General features: G+C 37.0%; 1 protein-coding gene across 11 annotated transcripts in view, besides 1 other annotated feature; it reads right to left on the minus strand.

Moving 5' to 3' along the window:
• Window positions 1-19,089, minus strand: part of TENM1 (teneurin transmembrane protein 1) — an 828,410-nt gene that overhangs the window by 621,698 nt on the left and 187,623 nt on the right. The gene's annotated exons all lie outside the window — the stretch shown is intronic.
• Window positions 8,237-8,737: an enhancer, noted in NCBI's record as "H3K27ac hESC enhancer chrX:124139686-124140186 (GRCh37/hg19 assembly coordinates)". NCBI's record gives its function as "activates a minimal SCP1, AML or CMV promoter by ChIP-STARR-seq in primed H9 embryonic stem cells {active_cell/tissue: H9 hESC(primed)}" and the evidence as "EXISTENCE:reporter gene assay evidence [ECO:0000049][PMID:30033119]".

Here is a 19,089-nt window from a genome sequence, read left to right on the forward strand (position 1 = left end):
CTTTAACATTACTGGTGTGCTTTCATCATTAATGCTGCCATTAATTTAGGTCAAGTGAACGATAAGAACTTAGATTGTGTACCCTCTCAAATGCCAAAGTCTCTCATTCCCTGGTACATTTTGGGCTGGTGTGAGGCAGTGGCTCTGGACACCAAAAGGAGACACAGAGGAGACCTGAACACAAATTGGGCTGTAATTTTCCACTTTAGATCTGATTGCTCCCTTATCCCATTTTCAACATGGATAGTAAGGTTGTTCAAGTAGAACAACCTCTGACTATTCTTTACACCACCCTGGAAAGCCTTCATTTCCTAAACCATTGTTTTCACCTATATAGAAGGTCAAGGCAATGATCCTTGCATTTGCTTATTAACAACATCAGTTGTCCATATTCATTTCAGAAAAGATGAGTTTTCCAATTGCTTCATGTGTGATTCCGCATTATGGCCTATCAGTGTGTGGCTTCAAAATGGAGAGTTTCATTTTAGAGAAAAAAAAAAAAAAAAAAGGATTTCCCACAAGGATTTCCCCTAAGTGTCTCTCAGATTGCCACTAGTTTCTTTTTATGTAGCTATGATATTGTTGTTATTTATTAATGAAATTTACATGATACTTGATACCATAAAGAAGTATAGTCCCTGACTTCAAGGAATGTAATAGAATATATGCATTGAAATTGGATTCAAGGAGATTGACGTTAAAATAAAATTGAAAGGGGAGCCACTGAGAGGTTTCAAGAAAAGGAGTAAGCTCAAAAACAGATGAAGATAATTTTAGCGGGAGGGCTATGCATGGTCACCTGAATATAAGAAGACTAGAATTCAAAATATAAAATTCGACAACAGCATTTAAGAAAAGAAGGTGAACAAGTATTTCTAAAAAAAAAAAAACAATGATAATAGTATTAACGATGATAGCAGCTAATGTTTACTGAGTATTTACCACATGGCAAGCTCAGTGTATAACTGATTTTCATGTACTCTCATTTACTCTACACAGCATCCTATGAGATAGGCATTACTAAAATCATTTGACTTATGGGAAAAATGAGGCAGAGTATTTAAGTAACTTTCCTGAGGTTAAATGTCTGGTTGAGGTGTGAGCTTGCATTCTTGTTAAAGCAATAAGACTTGGATGTATACTTCAATATATGCCTCATGTGAACATAGTAATCATAGATTTACTGTTAACAGTATAGACAAATTTATACAATGAATAAGGATCATCTTTAGTCAATTAGGAAACCATGCACTTATTACACTTGCAAACATTTCTGGAATTCTTCTTTAGTAATTGTGTTCTAAATCTGAAACACACTTTTAGCCTATTCACTAGGAGGAATCTTTCTTTGAGGTTGAATTTAAATTTTATAAATACTGAAAAAAATAAGTTGGAATTAACTAGGTCAAATGAAGTGCGATATCAATCCGGATAAATTCATTTGGGAACAAAAACATGATGTGGCATGAAGAAATTAGATGACTTTTTTTCTGAAAACATTCACCCAAAATTCTAGAGCAGGAGAAGCATCTTTCAAATCAATAATAGCTTCCCTAGAAGAAAATGTCTTAACTCTATTAATTCTGGTTCTAGTATGTGTGTTCATATTAAAATGTAAATGTTTTATATTATAATTAACAGGTTATACATTTTATGTAAGACTATTAAAGAATAGTATTCCTACATATGAGATACGCAAGCACAGATACATTATAAATAGTATGGATATTCAAATGTGTAGAAATCAGCATGTACTAGATTACTTGACAAGGGCTTCATGGAAGGAAGTAGGGATGAACCTGGGCTTGAAGAACAAGTTAAATTTCCGTGAGGGATCATCTATGTAGGGTAGAGGAATCTGACGTGATTAACTAATAAAAGCAGACTTGACAAAGAGTCTAATTCAAATGAAATAGGAGCTGTCCTAAAATACATTTTTAAACCAAACATCAGCAAAAGCAGATGTTACTATCTGGAGCACAGTGAGAGACAAGCATAGATAGTATGATGGACTCAGATTACATGGGGAGGGGGTTGCTAAGTGATTACCAGCTGAGGAGTTTGAACATGATCTAAAGTTAGCCTATTATCCTTCTACCGGTGATTTTGTAAGTCTCAAGGATCTGTCAAGGCCCACTAATAAATGTCTTGCTCTACAAAGGCAATTTAAGGAAAGAAAAGAAAAGTAACATGGATACTTCAAATTCTCTTTCCCTTGAGTAAAGGCCCTCCCACTGACCTTGCTTTAAAGACAGGAATTGCTGGCAAGAACTGAAAAGGGCCATCAGCAGTGTGTAGATAAGCTTTTAGAAACACCTTATTGTCTTTCAAACAGATGAGCAGATTTTCTGGTAAGATTCAGTTAATGCACGACATTCTTTTTAACAAGTATGAACTTTCTGGTTATTGGATACTTATTTTTTACATAAAATACAGCCCTACAAAACCCTTGTTATTTCTTTAATTAAAGTAAATACTTGTTTACACTACTCTACTGCAAATTTTTAAAGTGTGAGATAATAATGAATCCCATTTTTGCAGTGCATTGTAAATCATATTAGTAACTTCTGGTGCTCTCTAGGTTTAATAGGTGATAGTTTATTATTCATGTTCAGCATAAACTAAGTTGTTAAAATTACAAATTTACAAGTAAGCTACAAAAAGTATGCTTGTCTTCAGGATTATGGTTTTAATAATTGAAAATACTATCTGACGTAGAGCAAGTAAAATATAGAAACTTGAACGTTCACCTGAAACTCATGGCTGAGAGTAACAGAAGTCCCTGAACACTGGGGCCGTCTTTCTATTTATGTCAGGATAGACAAGCCAGTAAATGAACCAAGGAAAGTTACATTGTTTTATAGGATTTATATTTCCAGAATTCCTTTAGGAGGCTCATGTTTCTAAAATGCAAACATTATAAATATGAAAGGAGACATGTTAATGCATGTTAAGTTAGATTCTGGCATGAGCAGAAGATGCTTGTCTTCATATCAAAACATGTCTTTATTTTTATGCACAGAATGCTAAACTGCATGGAAAATTCTAAACCCTGAGTGAGTCTGGTTTTTTACATACAATAAGAAATGACCACGTACATGTTGAACTTGTTGCAACCAACTGGCTTTTTTTCTGGCCAGCAAGCCTAGTCATTCAAGAGATATCTTCTGAAATAAAATCCTTCCTAAACTCATCTTGAGCTCCTCATTACATGAGGTTGAGACTCATGTTTCTAGCTTTTAAGGCCACCAGAGGCTTCCAATTCCAACCAGAGACTGACTTCTCTGGAATACAATTTACTTTGAATTGAATTGAAAAGAAAGCCTCCTTTGTTTTTTTTTCCCATTTGTTCCAATTCAAATTAGTGCATTGATTAAATTCCAGAGAAGACTTGGCTCATAATAAACCTGCCAAGGGCTTACTCAGTATCCTAAAAGACTATACTCCAGACATCTCATAATTGTATGGGTGACCTTGTTTTTTTTTTAATAACTTTGATTCTTTTCAAATTCTGCTATATAGTTGAAATAATCCATTTACAGATAAGTTTATGAAATAAGAGAGTCCAAGCACCAGAAAAGTGAATAATGTGAATTAGCTAAAATGCCCCTCTATTCTAACTTACAAGGTAATAGAAAGCAGGACATACTATGATTTATTAGCTATTAACTCCTCTGGTCTGGCAGCGCCCTTTCTATATGAGATAGGGCCTCCACTTGGTTGACTGAGTTAGGTGAGATTCACTGAGAGAAATGATAGACTTTAGGACTATTTTCCAGATTTCAGTTTCCTCATCTGTAAAACAAGGTACTTGAAACTAAACAATCTCTAAGTTCTTTTCTCTGCTTTAACCATCTATAATTCTACTCATTTTGAATCTACTCCATTATTTGATTTAATAATGTACACAAATCTAGAAAGTTATCTTCAACAGACATGATAGTCACTAGGGAAACAAAGAGGTCTAAGAATCTAGAGGAGGCTAGAAACTTAGTTATGGAGATAAAATATGTCCATAAAAGGATATGTAACAATGCAGAGTAGGAAAAGGCTATGTGTCAAAATGGGAGGCATGAATGCAGAGCAGAATCCCTCAACCCCTGTTTATTCCTAATAGTCCAATACACATTGGACTATAAACTTTCATTGTATTTAGCCACTGTGATTTGAGGATTCTTTGTTGTATATATACACCTCTCTCTACCTCTAGTACAACAGTAGTACTAACTGCTATAACAAACTATAGATAGATACACACACACACACACACACACACACACACACACACAGCTCTCTCTACCTCCAGTCCATCTGTCTAGAGAGATCACACACACACACACACACACACACACACACACACACACACACACACAAGATCAAGTCAGGTCAAAAGATGAGGCCCTACCTCCTGTCATGAAAGTTTATATGATTCCAGAATGACTCAACTGATCACAAATAGGGAGTATAAATGTTTAAGTTTATTCCTTCTTGGATTATAAGCCCCAGGAAAGCAAGAGTCATGTCTTTTTTATTCACTGCTACATTCTCAGCACCTAGTGCCTGGAATGTAGTTGGTATACAGTATGTTGTTAAAATGTTTGTTTAGTGAATGAATGAGAGTTTCAATTGCATAGTGCTTCACAATTGGGCTCCTATAGCACCCTGGTCTTTCGCTATGATTGTAACTGCTATAGAATGCCTATCTTCTTTCCTAGAGAGCAAGGAGCTCCATAAGTATGTTTTTATTCAAGGTCCAAACTCGGTAAATTTCTTTTAATACTGAAAGAAGTAGATGACACCTTCTGGAGCCAACAGAGGAGACCTTGGGTTGTGTATATAAAGGCCTTCAATCAGACCTGTCCTCTAAGACACTTTCTCTCCCTGTGAGTTATCTAGGGTCGTTTCCTGCTTCAGCCAAAACTCAAAAGTGTCTTGTTACTCCTGAGTTTCCTGAACCTTGCCCTTTTCCATCACAGACTTGCCTTTAACCTGTCCTAGAATGACAGCCCAGTTTCCTGCCCAGAGTCCCCAATATAAAAACAGCTTCAACATTTATTGCTGTACATTTGACACACAAAATCAAGCCTTTGTCAGATGGGTTTCAGCTAAAATGTTTCATATAGATTTAGGAAAAAATCAAGCAAAATAATAAAATGGACTGCTTCCATAAGACTTGTTCCCTCAGCTTTTCCTCCTCACTATATGCTGCTACAGCAACTGCCAGATAAAGACCCAGGAATGGGTCCAGCCTTTACAAACCAAGGGTCTCCTGGTTTTACTCCTCACTACTTTATAAATTGCCTTCTCAACTGTTCCATGGGATTTGTTAAATGGGATTCAGAAATTTTTGCAGTCCTTAATTGCTCTAGAATTGAACAAATTAGAAGTAGGCAGGAAAAGGAACATTATAGATAGCAAAACCTAGTGCAATACTGATTGACTGTAAAAGGTTAAAACATGCCCTCAATTTTCCAGCAGAGCAGTGCCAGTGGATCTCACACTACAGATGTCAGTATTAGAAATGGCCATGGTCTCTACAGAAGCAAAAGCTTCTGCCATCTTTAAGTGGGACTAGAGAAGTAGGAAAAAGTTTGAGGAAATTACCTGTGATGCTATGCCTGATCCTCCTTTCCATAAACATTAGGGAAGAACTTTTGGCAAGTGTTATCTTAAAAAGTGAAATATGATCAACAAAATGGTCCTCTTCATTTAAAAATGTAAGAATAAAGGGCTATATTACTCTGAATTTAGAATACATACATAATGCCAACTATTCAATTAGAGAAAGGTCCCCATATTTCCATTTCCTCATCAATTTCCACCGGTATAGAAATGATTCTTCTCCAATTCAATAAGTTAATAGTAGAGTACAAAGCTTTATGGATTTCTCTGAAGAAGCTTGATTAAGAATTTTATTTTCAAGATATAAGATGTTAGCCACCTCTAACATAAAGCCTCAAGGGGAAAGAGTTTGTGGGCTGCTTTATAACTTTTAGAAGCCTCAACCTCATGGCTATGGGTTTTTTTTTCTTTTTACCAAATTTGAAAGGGGCCGTTCCACCTCAGTGACCAGCTACTAGTTAAATGGCAACTGAACCCAAGCACTGTGCTCCAGTAACTTGTGTGCTTTTAAACATGCTTCAGGCATGGGGATAGAATATCCTTGTCACAAAACCAAGATAATAAGACATCAACAACTGGAATGATGTGTCTAAATACATCTGCACAATGAAAACTTCTCTTTCCATCCAGTAAGCATGCCTTGAGTGGGTCGGGCCATTGTGACATGCATCAGGGTTCTCAGGTCATTAACACAGTACACACACACGTTCTCAGGTCCTAACTCCATCTACTCAACCTGTGTAAACAATCATCTAACGATGGAGAAAGATGTTAAGTTAATCAATAATAGAATTCCTGTTTACTGTTTTCTATTATAGAATTAAGACTTTATGGAATGTATGACACCACAATACTAATGAGTAATGACGGAAATAGAGTTTTCATATTGCACTTCAGTCTTGTGTTGTAGATCAACACAACAGGTGATTCTCAAATCTGAACAAGCATCAAAATCATCTGGCAGCCTTGTTACAACACAGGTTACTGGAACCCACTCCGAGCATTTCTGATTCAGTAAGCATGAGATAGAGCCTGTGGATTTTCATTTTGACAAGTTCCAAGTAATGTTGTTGCTATGGGTCCACAGAACACGCTTTGGGAATTACTATGTCAGGGCACGGTCATAATGAACCCTAGGTTTCAAGTTCAAATCTTATTTTAGCCAGCAGATATTACACAAAGGAAAATTCTGAGGTAACCACCCTAACCAGACATGACAGTTCAACAAATGTCTGCCCTTGGTTACAGGGAGGACAAGATGACAAAATAATCATGCTTCTTTGCAATCCCATACACTGTTCTATAAAATCAACGTCTGTATTAGTAATTGCAACTTTACATACAAACAGCATAATACTTTTTTGAATTTTTAAAACTTTTTACTTTGAATAATTTCAAACATACATAGAAATAGAATAGCAGAATAAACACACATATACCTATCAACTATATTGTTTAATTATTAATATTTTGTTAAATTTGCTTCATTTATATTTTAGCTAATGTATTTTAAAGTAACTCCAAGACATCATCATATTTCTCCTCTAAATAGTTCTGTATATAAAAAGAGCAAAACATTTTCTATGTTTTTTTCTTTTTTAATTACTTTTGCTTTCAAAATACTTTAATTTCTATTATTTTTCAACATCTACTAAGTAATTAGGGCAAGTAATCTTACATGCTTTTACACAAGAACGTTTAATAATCAAATATTGAAACGACTGGCTCAGGATACTAGAGCAAGTTAGTGACAGAACAGAAACCATGACTCATTAATTCACTCACTCACTTACTGACTTAATTACTCAGCAAATATGTGCCTTTTGGTCTCCTGCCTCTTGACCTTATCCTCTTTCCAGAAAACTAAATTTCTATTCAAAATTCAGTCTGAAAGAAATTAGACCAGCATTATCAAAAGTGTGCTCCACATAATACTAATTCTTCAGGATGCTAAAAGATGTATACATACACACACACACACACACACACACACACACACACACACACAAATAATTCTATGGCCAAATCAGTTTGGGAAATCATGGATTAAATAAACAGCTTTCTTTATTGAAGAGCTTTTCAGAGCCTCTAATAAACTATTATGCATTGGAATTCTGCAAGAGACACAACCTTAAGTGTGCAGTATTTCCCCAGTGTATTAAACAATCTTTTGACCTGACTTGGTTGTGTGTGTGTGTGTGTGTGTGTGTGTGTGTGTGTGTATTTTGTTTGTTTAAGGAACATCTCTATGAAACATATTTTGATCAATGTTCCACTAGTAGAGTCTAGGGTTTGTTTGCTCTACATGTTCAAGAAAACTTTCAAGGAAAAATAATGCAATATTCCAATGATAGAAACTAAGGGGGAGGGGCCAAGATGGCTGAATGGAAACAGCTCCAGCAGCTCCCAGTGAGACCAATGCAGAGGCGGGTGATTTCTGCATTTCCAACTGAGGTACCCAGTTTATCTCATTGCGACTTGTTAGACAGTGGGTGCGACCCATGGAGAGCGAGCAGAAGCAGGATGGGACGTCGCTTCACCTGGGAAGTGCACGGAGCCAGGGGGCCTCCTTCCCCCAGCCAAGGGAAGCTATTAAGTGACTGTGCCACCTACCCAGGGTACTACACTTTTCCCACGGATTTTTGCAATCTGCAGATCAAGAGATTCCCTTGTGAGCCTATACCACTAGAGCCCCAGGTTTTGAGCACAAAACTGGGTGGCTTTTCAGGCAGGCACTAGGCTGCAGGAGTTTTCTCATACTCCAGCAGCTCCTGGAACTCCAGTGAGACAGGAGAACCGCCCACTCCCCTGGAAAGGGGGCTGAAACCAGGGAGCCAAGCGGTCTTGCTCAGTGGGTCTGACTCCCACGGAGCTTAGCAAGCTGAGAACCACTGGACTGAGATTCTCACTGCCAGCAGAGCAGTCTGAAGTTGGCCTGGGGCAATCGAGTTTGGTAGGGAGAGGGGTGACCACCATTATTGTAGCTTTAGTAGGTGGTTTTCCCCTGACAGTGCTAAGGAGACTGGGAGGTTTGGACTGGGTGGAATTCACCACAGTGCAGCAAAGCAGCTGTGGCCAGACTGCTTCTCTAGATTCCCCCTCATTAGGCAGGGCATCTCTGCAGGAAATCCAGCAGCTCCAGTGAGGGGCTTACAGACAGAACTCTCACCTACCTGGGACAGAGCACCTGTGGGGAGGGAAGCCTGCAGTCACAGGTTCAGCAGACTTAATCTTTCCTGCCTGACTCTGAAGAGTGCGGCTGATCCTGACAAGGGGGATTCTCCCAGCACAGTGCTAAGGGACAAACAGCCTCCTCAAGTGGGTCCCTGGCCCCATGCCTCCTGATTGAGAGAGACTTCCCAACAGGGGTCAACAGACACTTCATACAGGAGAACTCTGGTTGGCATCAGGCTGGTGCCCCTCTGAAACAAAGCTTCCAAAGGTAAGAGCAGACCACAATCTTTGCTATTCTGTAGCCTCCACTGGTAATAGCCAGACGAACAGGGTCTCGAGTGGACACCCAGCAAATTGTAGCAGACCTGCAGAAGGGGGGCTTGACTGTTAGAAGAAAAACTAACAAACAGGAAGTAAAAACAGCAACAATGTCAACACAAAAGAACCTCCCCCCAACAAAAAAACCCATCCAAAGGTCATCAGCCTCAAAGATCAAAGGTAGATACATCCACAAAGATGAGGAAAAACCAGTGTAAAAATGCTGAAATTTCCAAAAGCCAGAATGCCTCTTCTCCTCCAAATGATTGCAACACCCCTCCAGCAAAGGTGTAGAACTGGACAGAGAATGAGATGGATAAATCGAAAGAAGTAGGCTTCAGAAGGTGGGTAATAACAAACTCCACTGAGCTAAAGGAGAATGTTCTAACCCAATGCAAAGAAGCTAAAAACCTTAATAAAAAGTTACAGAGCTGCTAACTAGAAAAACCAGTTTAGAGAGGAATATAAATGACCTGATGGAGCTGAAAAATGCAGCACAAGAACTTCGTGAAGCACACACAAGTATCAATAGCCGGACTGATCAAGTGGAAGAAAGGATATCAGAGTTTGAAGACTATCTTGCTGAAATAAGGCACGCAGACAACATTAGAGAAAAAAGAATAAAAAGGAACGAGAAAAAAAAAAAACCTCTGAGAAACATGGACTATGTAAAAAGACCGAACCTACAATTGATTGGAGTATCTGAAACAGACTGGGAGAATGGAACCAAGTTGGAAAACACACTTCAGGATATTGTCCAGGAGAACTTCCCCAACCTAGCAAGACAGGCCAACATTCAAATTCAGGAAATACAGAGAACACCACTAAGATACTCCAAGAGAAGATCAACCCCAAGACACGTAATCTTCAGATTTTCCAAGGTTGAAATGAAGGGGAAAAAATGTTAAAGGCAGCCAGAGAGAAAAGCCAGGTCACCTATAAAGGGAAGCCCATCAGAATAACAGCAGACCTCTCAGCAGAAACCCTACAAGCCAGAAGAGAGTGGGGGCCAATATTCAACATTCTTAAAGAATTTTCAATCCAGAATTTGATATCCAGCCAGACTAAGCTTCATAAGTGAAGGAGAAATAAAATACTTTCCAGACAAGCAAATGCTAAGGGATTTCATCACCACCAGGCCTGCCTTGCAAGAGCTCCTGAAGGAAGCACTAAATACAGAAAGGAAAAACCAGTACCAGCCACTGCAAAAACACACCAAAATATAAAGACCAATGATGTTGTGAAGAAACTGCATCAACTAGTGTGCAAAATAACCAGCTAGCATCATGATGACAAGAACAAATTCATATATAACAATATTAACCTTAAATTTAAATGGACTAAATTCCCCAATTAAAAGACACAGACTGGCAAATAGGATAAAGAGTCAAGACCCATTGGTGTGCTGTATTCAGGAGACCAATCTCACATGCAAAGACACATATAGGCTTAAAATAAAGGGATGGAGAAAAATTTACCCAGCAAATGGAAAGCAAAAAAGAGCAGGGGTTGCAATCCTAGTCTCTAATAAAACAAATGTTAAACGAAAAAAAAAATCAAAAAGACAAAAAAGGGCATTATATAATCATAAAGGGATCAATTCAAGAAGAAGAGCTAACTATCCTAAATATATATGCACCCAATACAGGAGTACCCAGATTAATAAAACAAGTTTTTAGAGACCTACAAAGAGACTTAGACTCCTACACAATAACAGTGAAGGACTTTAACACTCCGTTGTCAATATTAGACATATCAACAAGACAGAAAATTAACAAGGATATTCAGGACTTGAACTTAGCTGTGGATCAAGTGGACCTAATAGACATGTTCAGAATTCTTCACCCCAAATCAACAAAATATACATTCTTCTCAGTGCCACATGGCACTTATTGGAAAACCAACCACGTAATTGGAAGTAAAACACTCCTCAGCAAGTGCAAAAGAACTGAAATCATAAGAAACAGTCTCTCAGACCACAGTGCAAACAAATTAGAACTCAGGATCCAGAAACTCACTAATACAACACAACTCACTGGAAATTGAACAACCGGCTCCTGAATGACTCCTGGGTAAATAACAAAATTAAGGCAGAAATCAAGAAGTTCTTTGAAACCAATGAGAACAAAAAGACAATGTACCAGAATCTCTAGGACACAGCTAACGCAGTGTTAAGAGGGAAAGTTATAGCACTAAAGGCCCACATCAGAAAGCTAGAAAGATCTGAAGTCGACACCCTAACATCACAATTAAAAGAGCTAGAGAAGCAAGAGAAAACAGATCCAAAAGCTAGTAGAAGACAAGAAATAACTAAGATCAGTGCAGAACTGAAGGAGACAGAGACACAAAAAACCCTTCAAAAAATCAATAAATCCAGGAGCTGTTTTTTTTTTTTTTCCGGAAAAAAAAAAATAGACCACTAGCTAGACTAATAAATAAGGAAAGAGAGAAGAGTCAGATAGACACAATAAAAAATGATAAAGGGGATTTCACCACTGCCCCCACAGAAATACAAACTACCATTAGAGAATACTAAAAACAACTCTACACAAATAAACTACAAAAGCTAGAATAAATGGATAAATTCCTGGATACACATACCCTCCCAAGACTAAACAAGGAAGAAGTTGAATCCCTGAATAGACCAATATCAAGTTCTGAAATTGAGGCAGTAATTAATAGCCTGTCAATCAAAAAATTCCCAGGAGATGGATTCACGGCCAAGTTCTACCAGAGGTACAAAGAGGAGCTGGTACCATTCCTTCTGAAACTATTCCAAACCATTGAAAAGGAGAGACACCTCCCTAACTCATTGTATGAGGCCAGCATCATCCTGATACCAAAACCAGACAGAGATACAACAAAAAAAGAAAACTTCAGGCCAATATCCCTGATGAACATTGATTTGAAAATCCTCAATAAAATACTGGCAAACTGAATCCAGCAGCACATCAAAAAGCTTATCCAACACTATCAAGTCAGCTTCATCCCTGGGTTGCAAGGCTGGTTCAACATATACAAATCAATCAATGTAATCCATCACATAAACAGAACTAATGACAAAAACCACATGATTATCTCAATAGATGCAGAAAAGGCCTTCAATAAAATTCAACATCCCTTCATGTTAAAAACTCTCAATAAACTGGGTATTGATGGAACATATCTCAAAATAATAAGAGCCATTCATGACAAACCCATAGCCAATTTCATACTGAATGGGCAAAAGCTGGAGGCATTCCCTTTAAAAACTGGCACAAGACAAGGATGCCCTCTTGCACCAGTCCTATTCAACACAGTAATGGAAGTTCTGGCTAGGGCAATCAGGCAAGAGAAAGAAATGAAGGGTATTCAAATAGGAAGCGAGGAAGTCAAATTGTTTGCAAATGACATGATTCTATATTTTAAAAACCCCATCATCTCAGCTTCAAAACTCCATAAGCTGATAAGCAACTTCAGCAAAGTCTCAAAATATAAAACCAATGTGCAAAAATCACAAGCATTCCTATACACCAACAATAGACAAGCAGAGAGCCAAATCATGAGTGAACTCCCATTCACAACTGCTACAAAGAAAATATAATACCTAGGAATACAGCTAACAAGGGACATGAAGGATCTCTTCATGGAGAACTACAAACTACTGCTCAAGGAAATAAGAGAGGACACAAACAAATAGAAAAACATTCCATTCTCAGGGATAGGAAGAATCAATATCTTGAAAATGGCCATACTGCCCAAAGTAATTTTTAGATTCAGTGCTATTCCCATCAAACTACCATTGACATTCTTCACAGAATTAGAAAAAAAAAAAAACAGGCCGGGCGCAGTGGCTCAAGCCTGTAATCACAGCACTTTGGGAGGCCGAGACGGGCGGATCATGAGGTCAGGAGATCGAGACCATCCTGGCTAACACGATGAAACACTGTCTCTACTAAAAATACAAAAAATTAGCTGGGCGCGGTGGCGGGTGCCTGTAGTCCCAGCTACTCAGGAGGCTGAGGCAGGAGAATGGCATGAACCTGGGAGGTGGAGCTTGCAGGGAGCCGAGATCGCGCCACTGCACTCCAGGCTGGGCAACAGAGCAAGACTCCGTCTAAAAAAAAAAAAAAAAACATTTTAAATTACATGTGGAACCGAAAAAGAGGCCATATAGCCAAGACAATCCTAAGCAAAAAGAACAAAGCTGCAGGTATCACACTACCTAACTTCAAATTATACTACAAGGTTACAGTTACCAAAACAGCATGGTACTGGTACCCAAACAGACATATAGGCCAATGGAACAGAACAGATACCTCAGAAATAACACCACACATCTACAACCATCTGATCTTCTACAAACCTGACAAAAACAAGCAATTGGGAAAGGATTCCCCATTCAATAAATGGTGCTAGGAAAACTGGCTAGCCAAATGCAGAAAACTGAAACTGGACCCCTTCCTTACCCCTTATACAAAGATTAACTCGAGATGGATTTAAGAGTTAAATGTAAAACCCAAAACCATAAAAACCCTAGAAGAAAACGTAGGTAATACCAATCAGGACATGGGCATGGGCAAAGACTTCATGACAAAAACACCAAAAGCTAGTGCAACAAAAGCCAAAATTGACAAATGGATCTAATTAAACTAGAGAGCTTCTGCACAGCAAAAGAAACTATCATCAGAGTGAACAGGAAACCTACAGAATGGGAGAAAATTTTTGCAATCTACCTATCTGACAAAGGTCTAATATCCAGAATCTACAACAAATTTGTAAACAAATTTGCCAGAAGAAACAAACAACCCCATCAAAAAGTGGGCAAAGGATATGAGCAGACACTTCTCAAAAGAAGACATTTATGTTGCCAACAACAGACATATGAAAAAAAGCTCATCATCACTGGTCACTAGAGAAATGCAAATTAAAACCACAACCAGATAACATCTCATGCCAGTCAGAATGGCAATTATTAAAAAGTCAAGAAACAACAGATGCTCGTGAGGCTGTGGAGAAATAGGAATGCTTTTACACTGTTGATTGGAATGTAAATTAGTTTAACCACCGTGGAAGACAGCGTGGCGATTCCTCAGGGATCTAGAACCAGGAATATCATTTGACCCAGCAATCCAATTACTGGGTATATACCCAAAAGAATATAAATTATTCTACTACAAAGACACATGCACACGTATGTTTATTGCAGCACTATTTACAATAGCAAAGACATGGAACCAACCCAAATGCCCACCTATGATAGACTGGAAAAAAATGTGGTACATATACACCATGGAATACTATGCAGCCAATAAAAAGAATGAGATCATGTCCTTTGCAGGGACATGGATGAAACTGGAAGCCATCATCCTCAGCAAACTAACACAGGAACAGAAAACGAAACACCACATGTTCTCACTCATAAGTGGGAGTTGAACAATGACAACACATGGACACAGCTAGAGGAACAGCACACACCAGGGCCTGTCGTGGGGTGGGAGCCATGGGGAAGGAGAGCATTAGGAGAAATACCTAATGCATGTGGGGCTTAAAACCTACATGACGGATTGATAGGTACAGCAAACCACCATGGCACATGTATACCTATGTAAAACACTTGCTCATTCTGCACATGTATCCTGGAATTTAAAGTAAAGTAAAATAAGAAAACTTAAAAAAAGAAACAAGAACAGATTCTTACCCACTTTCAAACACTAAAATGAGACTACACGCTTAGAAGCGAATTGACTCCTTAGAACTTTAAAGTACTGAAGTAGACATTCAAGTTAAATATATTTAGCATCGTACTTTAGAATAAAAGCATTATATAATTGTAATAATTTAATCAAACCACCATACCCAGAGACAGTTCTATAGTTTCTAATAACTAAAGTGTTTCATTTAATATATACCTTAATAATTTCTATATCCAGTTGGAAATGACTTAGATATTCATAGGATAGCATAATAATAATATTTGTAAAAAAAACTCACTCCAAATCAAATGCGCACTACATTTAATGTGAATTAGCTTTTGTTATACTTAAAATCAATTTAAATGAAGGCTAATGGAAGGAAACATGAAAACGCTGATATAGCACAATACCAAGAATGTATGTATATAATATTAAAACAATTCAAGGGTATTACTTGAGGTAATTCAGTATCTAGTCGGTTGAGTAACAGGGCATTCTAACTTTCTGTAAATATATACACAAGTATACAAGGTTGTCAACTATCTGATTTACAAGTGAAAATAATCAACCAGATGTTTTTAAAGTGCCTAAAAGTTGGGCATTATGCTTAGGTAACAGCAGTGTTTCACTTTTCCTATGAATGGTTTTGCCATCAGAAAAACAGAGCTCCAAAATGTTCAATAGCTACAGTTCTATCTAGTGTTGGCTGAGGAAGAAGCTTTATGAAGGTCCTTTGTGAAGTTACTTATTTTTTCTGCATTTCATTGTCCTCATCTCCAAAGCAGCTCATAACCCTGTTAGACATTTTATGAGGATAAACAGAGAAGACTATACTGATTGTCAAAAATCAGAATGTCTAGGCAAATTGGGATGGGCAATCATACATGAAGATTAACTACAAAACGATTGCTTTAAGTTAGGATTTTTGACATTTTATCTAAATTTTATTGCTGCAGAAATTTTGTTTCAAGATAGACTATGCATTTTAAAGTGAATCTGATAAATATCTTAGTATTTAATTTTAATAGTAATCAGTACTGAATATTTTAATCTGCAATAACCTTAAAATGTATAATTTATATTATAGTAACCATGGAAGATCCTAATTATTCATTTCTGCCTTTTGTTAACATGAAGTGCTAATATTGGGTGCTGAATTAAATAGTAAAATGGTGTTTTCATACTCTTCTGCCAAAAAATTACCTATGTAATTTGTGTTTTCCTTCATTTAAGAAGACTGGATATGACTGGATATGACAAATGATAGTTCGCATTTGAGTAAAATGTGATAATCTCAGAAATCAGTTTAATATTTATTACAGGTTAATTAAATCAGGGGGTAAAGATTTCTGAGTCACTGTGTTATCCAACTTGAAAAGAGTCAATAAACTACAGTTAATTGGCAGGCAACAGCCTAACCAGATTAAGTGTGTAAACTCTGGACTACTACAACATCTCAGCAAGCTTAATCCACAAGTGGATGATACAATAGAAAACATTTTTGTTAAATATCTCTTGGAATGATGCTAAACCGTTATTTGGATAAAAATTAAACAAATACCTATAAGCAGAATTAACACATCTATCTAAGCTTCTTTTTTAGGGCTATAATTATCTGGATATTCATCTTCTCATAAAACCTTCCTCCTTTAAACCTAATAGTTCATATATCAATAGACTCCTGAGGCACAGAAATATGCAATAATGTAATTATAAAAACTAATTCAATAAAACTAAAAACAAGCTAAGATTTACAATAAAGATTATAATCTAATCCTCAATAGTGTAACGAGGCATCTCTTCACTGTGAGTTTTAGCTTCCTCATCTGCTAGATGGGAATAATATAATTATATCCCCATGTTGAATGGATATATGAAAACAAATGCAAGATATTATAATGTAACAATTGTGGACAACAATAAAAAGCTTTTCAGATTTGTATGTAGCCTGTCATCTTTAAATGCAGTAGTCTTCTGCTTACGCAGAAAAAGTCCAAATGGCTGGTCAACTTAGAGGGGATAGGGAATTGGAAGTTAATAGATTCTTTAAAAGCTAACTATTTCTTTACTTTTAGGTAAACCAGTGGATTCCAAACTGAAATTTTTAATCACTAAAACAGAATAGAAAAACCAATATTTTAAATAAACATTAACATAATTATGTTATTATTATTTAACCTTTGTTACATAAAAAGTCACTCTTTGAGTAACACTGATTTAGAAAAAAAATATATTTAAGTAATTGAAAAATTAGTAGCTTGATTGAGTACTTGACTTCTCATTGATTTGTTTTGGTATCTCATAGACCACTGATTCTCAGTTGGGGGCCTTATTCTCAAGAGATGGATTTCAAAATCTTTAGAGTAGTGTTATATGAAGTGTAGCTTGAAAAAGCATGCTTACTATCATAATATAATTTTATATTTGTAAAATGGAAAAGATATATTTTCATAAAGAAGCTACAGAAAATAACACTCTCAATGGAGTTCAGGGACATAAGCTTTTATGTATATCAAAAAGAGATATGTGTTTGAATATGATGACAAATAAGGTGGAAGGCTTGGTCCCAGCTCCCATAAGACTCTGGGGAAGGGATTCTGTTTATGCCTGCATCACTAATCTGTTAACAGGTCATGTAAATTGCCAGCATTAGCAACTGGCCCACAATAATGCTCTGAAGATTCACTACACACAGTAAAGTGGTTGGTGAGCAAAGCAATCACAACTACTAAAATCAAGCAATGAAGAGCAGGCTGTCAGCAGATTGGGACATCCTTGGGTGTTTAGGCATGACAAATAACCTAGGGTTGCCAGATTTAGCAAATAAGTCCCATTTGTGACCTATTTATACTAAAAAAAATTTAACTGTTTATCTAGGGTTGAAATGTAACTGGGCATCCTATATTTTATCTGGCAACTCTTGTGAAACCCCTCTCCCAGCGTATCAATAGGATGACACTTCTTGAAGGATCATGCAGTATGTCACAGAAGCAGATATATATACAAGAGTGAGTAACTCAACTTGATAATTTAGTAAGAAAATGTTCTTGCACCTATGTTTCCCACTACCTCTTTAATGAGAAAAGGTTATGTTGTACATTAGTATTGGTTGTCACTGCTGAGATTCAACCTATGGTAGTGACAGCAAATAAGAACTGATCTGCTTTTGGAAGAATCGTTATTAACCTTAAAAGGATAATGTACATGCATTAGTTTAGTGCCTATGCTTTCTGTGTTGTGAGAGTGAAACCTGATATTGGAACATAGCCTAAAAAAAATTCACCTACTCAACCCAAGTCATTGGAAATGAGGATTGAGGAAACAACATAAATAAATTAGAAGAAACATAGTATTATAGAGGAAAGGGCATTGCGTAGAATGAGATTCAAGAGACCAGAATTCTCTTATTTCTCTTCTGCCATTAGTTCGTGCAACCACATAGAATTATTTAACTCCTTTGGGCCTCGGTTTCAAAAATAGTAAAATTAAAAAGTTATACTGGTTACTTACTCATCATTTGTTTACTAAGCATCTGTTATACACTAGACCTAGAGCTAAGGAGTAGAAATACTCCTCTCAAGGAGCTCATAGTCCACTGTCTTTTTAGTTTGAATGTTCTAAAATTTGTGTTTTTCTGCATTTGAGCTTTACAAATAGCTCCTCCAAAAATTTTTTTTTATCTACCTTGTGATGTATATAAAAATCTCTTGAAAATTCCATTTGTTGCTAGTGCCTAAAAGAAACAAGGGCAGATGTGTGTGAAGAACATCAACATCACCATGGTTTTAAAGCTATTCAACTTAGTATTGGAAGTTCTGGCCAGGGCAACCAGGCAAGAGAAAGAAATAAAGGGTATTCAAATAGGAAGAGAGGAAGTCAAATTGTCTCTGTTTGCAGATGACATGATGGTATATTTAGAAAACCCCATCGTCTCAGCCCAAAATCTCCTTAAGTTGATAAGCAACTTCATCAAAGTCTCAGGATACAAAATCAATGTGCAAAAATCACAAGCATTCCTGTATGCCAATAATAGACAAACAGAGAGCTAAATCATGAGTGAACTCCCATTTGCAATTGCTACAAAGAGAATAAAATACCTAGGAATACAACTTACAAGGGACGTGAAGGACCTCTTCAAGGAGAACTACAAACCACTGCTCAAGGAAATAAGATAGGACACAATCAAATGAAAAAACATTCCATGTTCATGGATAGGAAGAATTAATGTCTTCAAAATGGCCATACTGCCCAAAGTAATTTACAGATTCAATACTATCCCCATCAAGCTACCACTGATTTT

The sequence above is a fragment of the Homo sapiens genome, chromosome X (genome assembly GCF_000001405.40).
Source record: "Homo sapiens chromosome X, GRCh38.p14 Primary Assembly".
In the NCBI taxonomy this organism is placed as follows: Eukaryota; Metazoa; Chordata; class Mammalia; order Primates; family Hominidae; genus Homo; species Homo sapiens.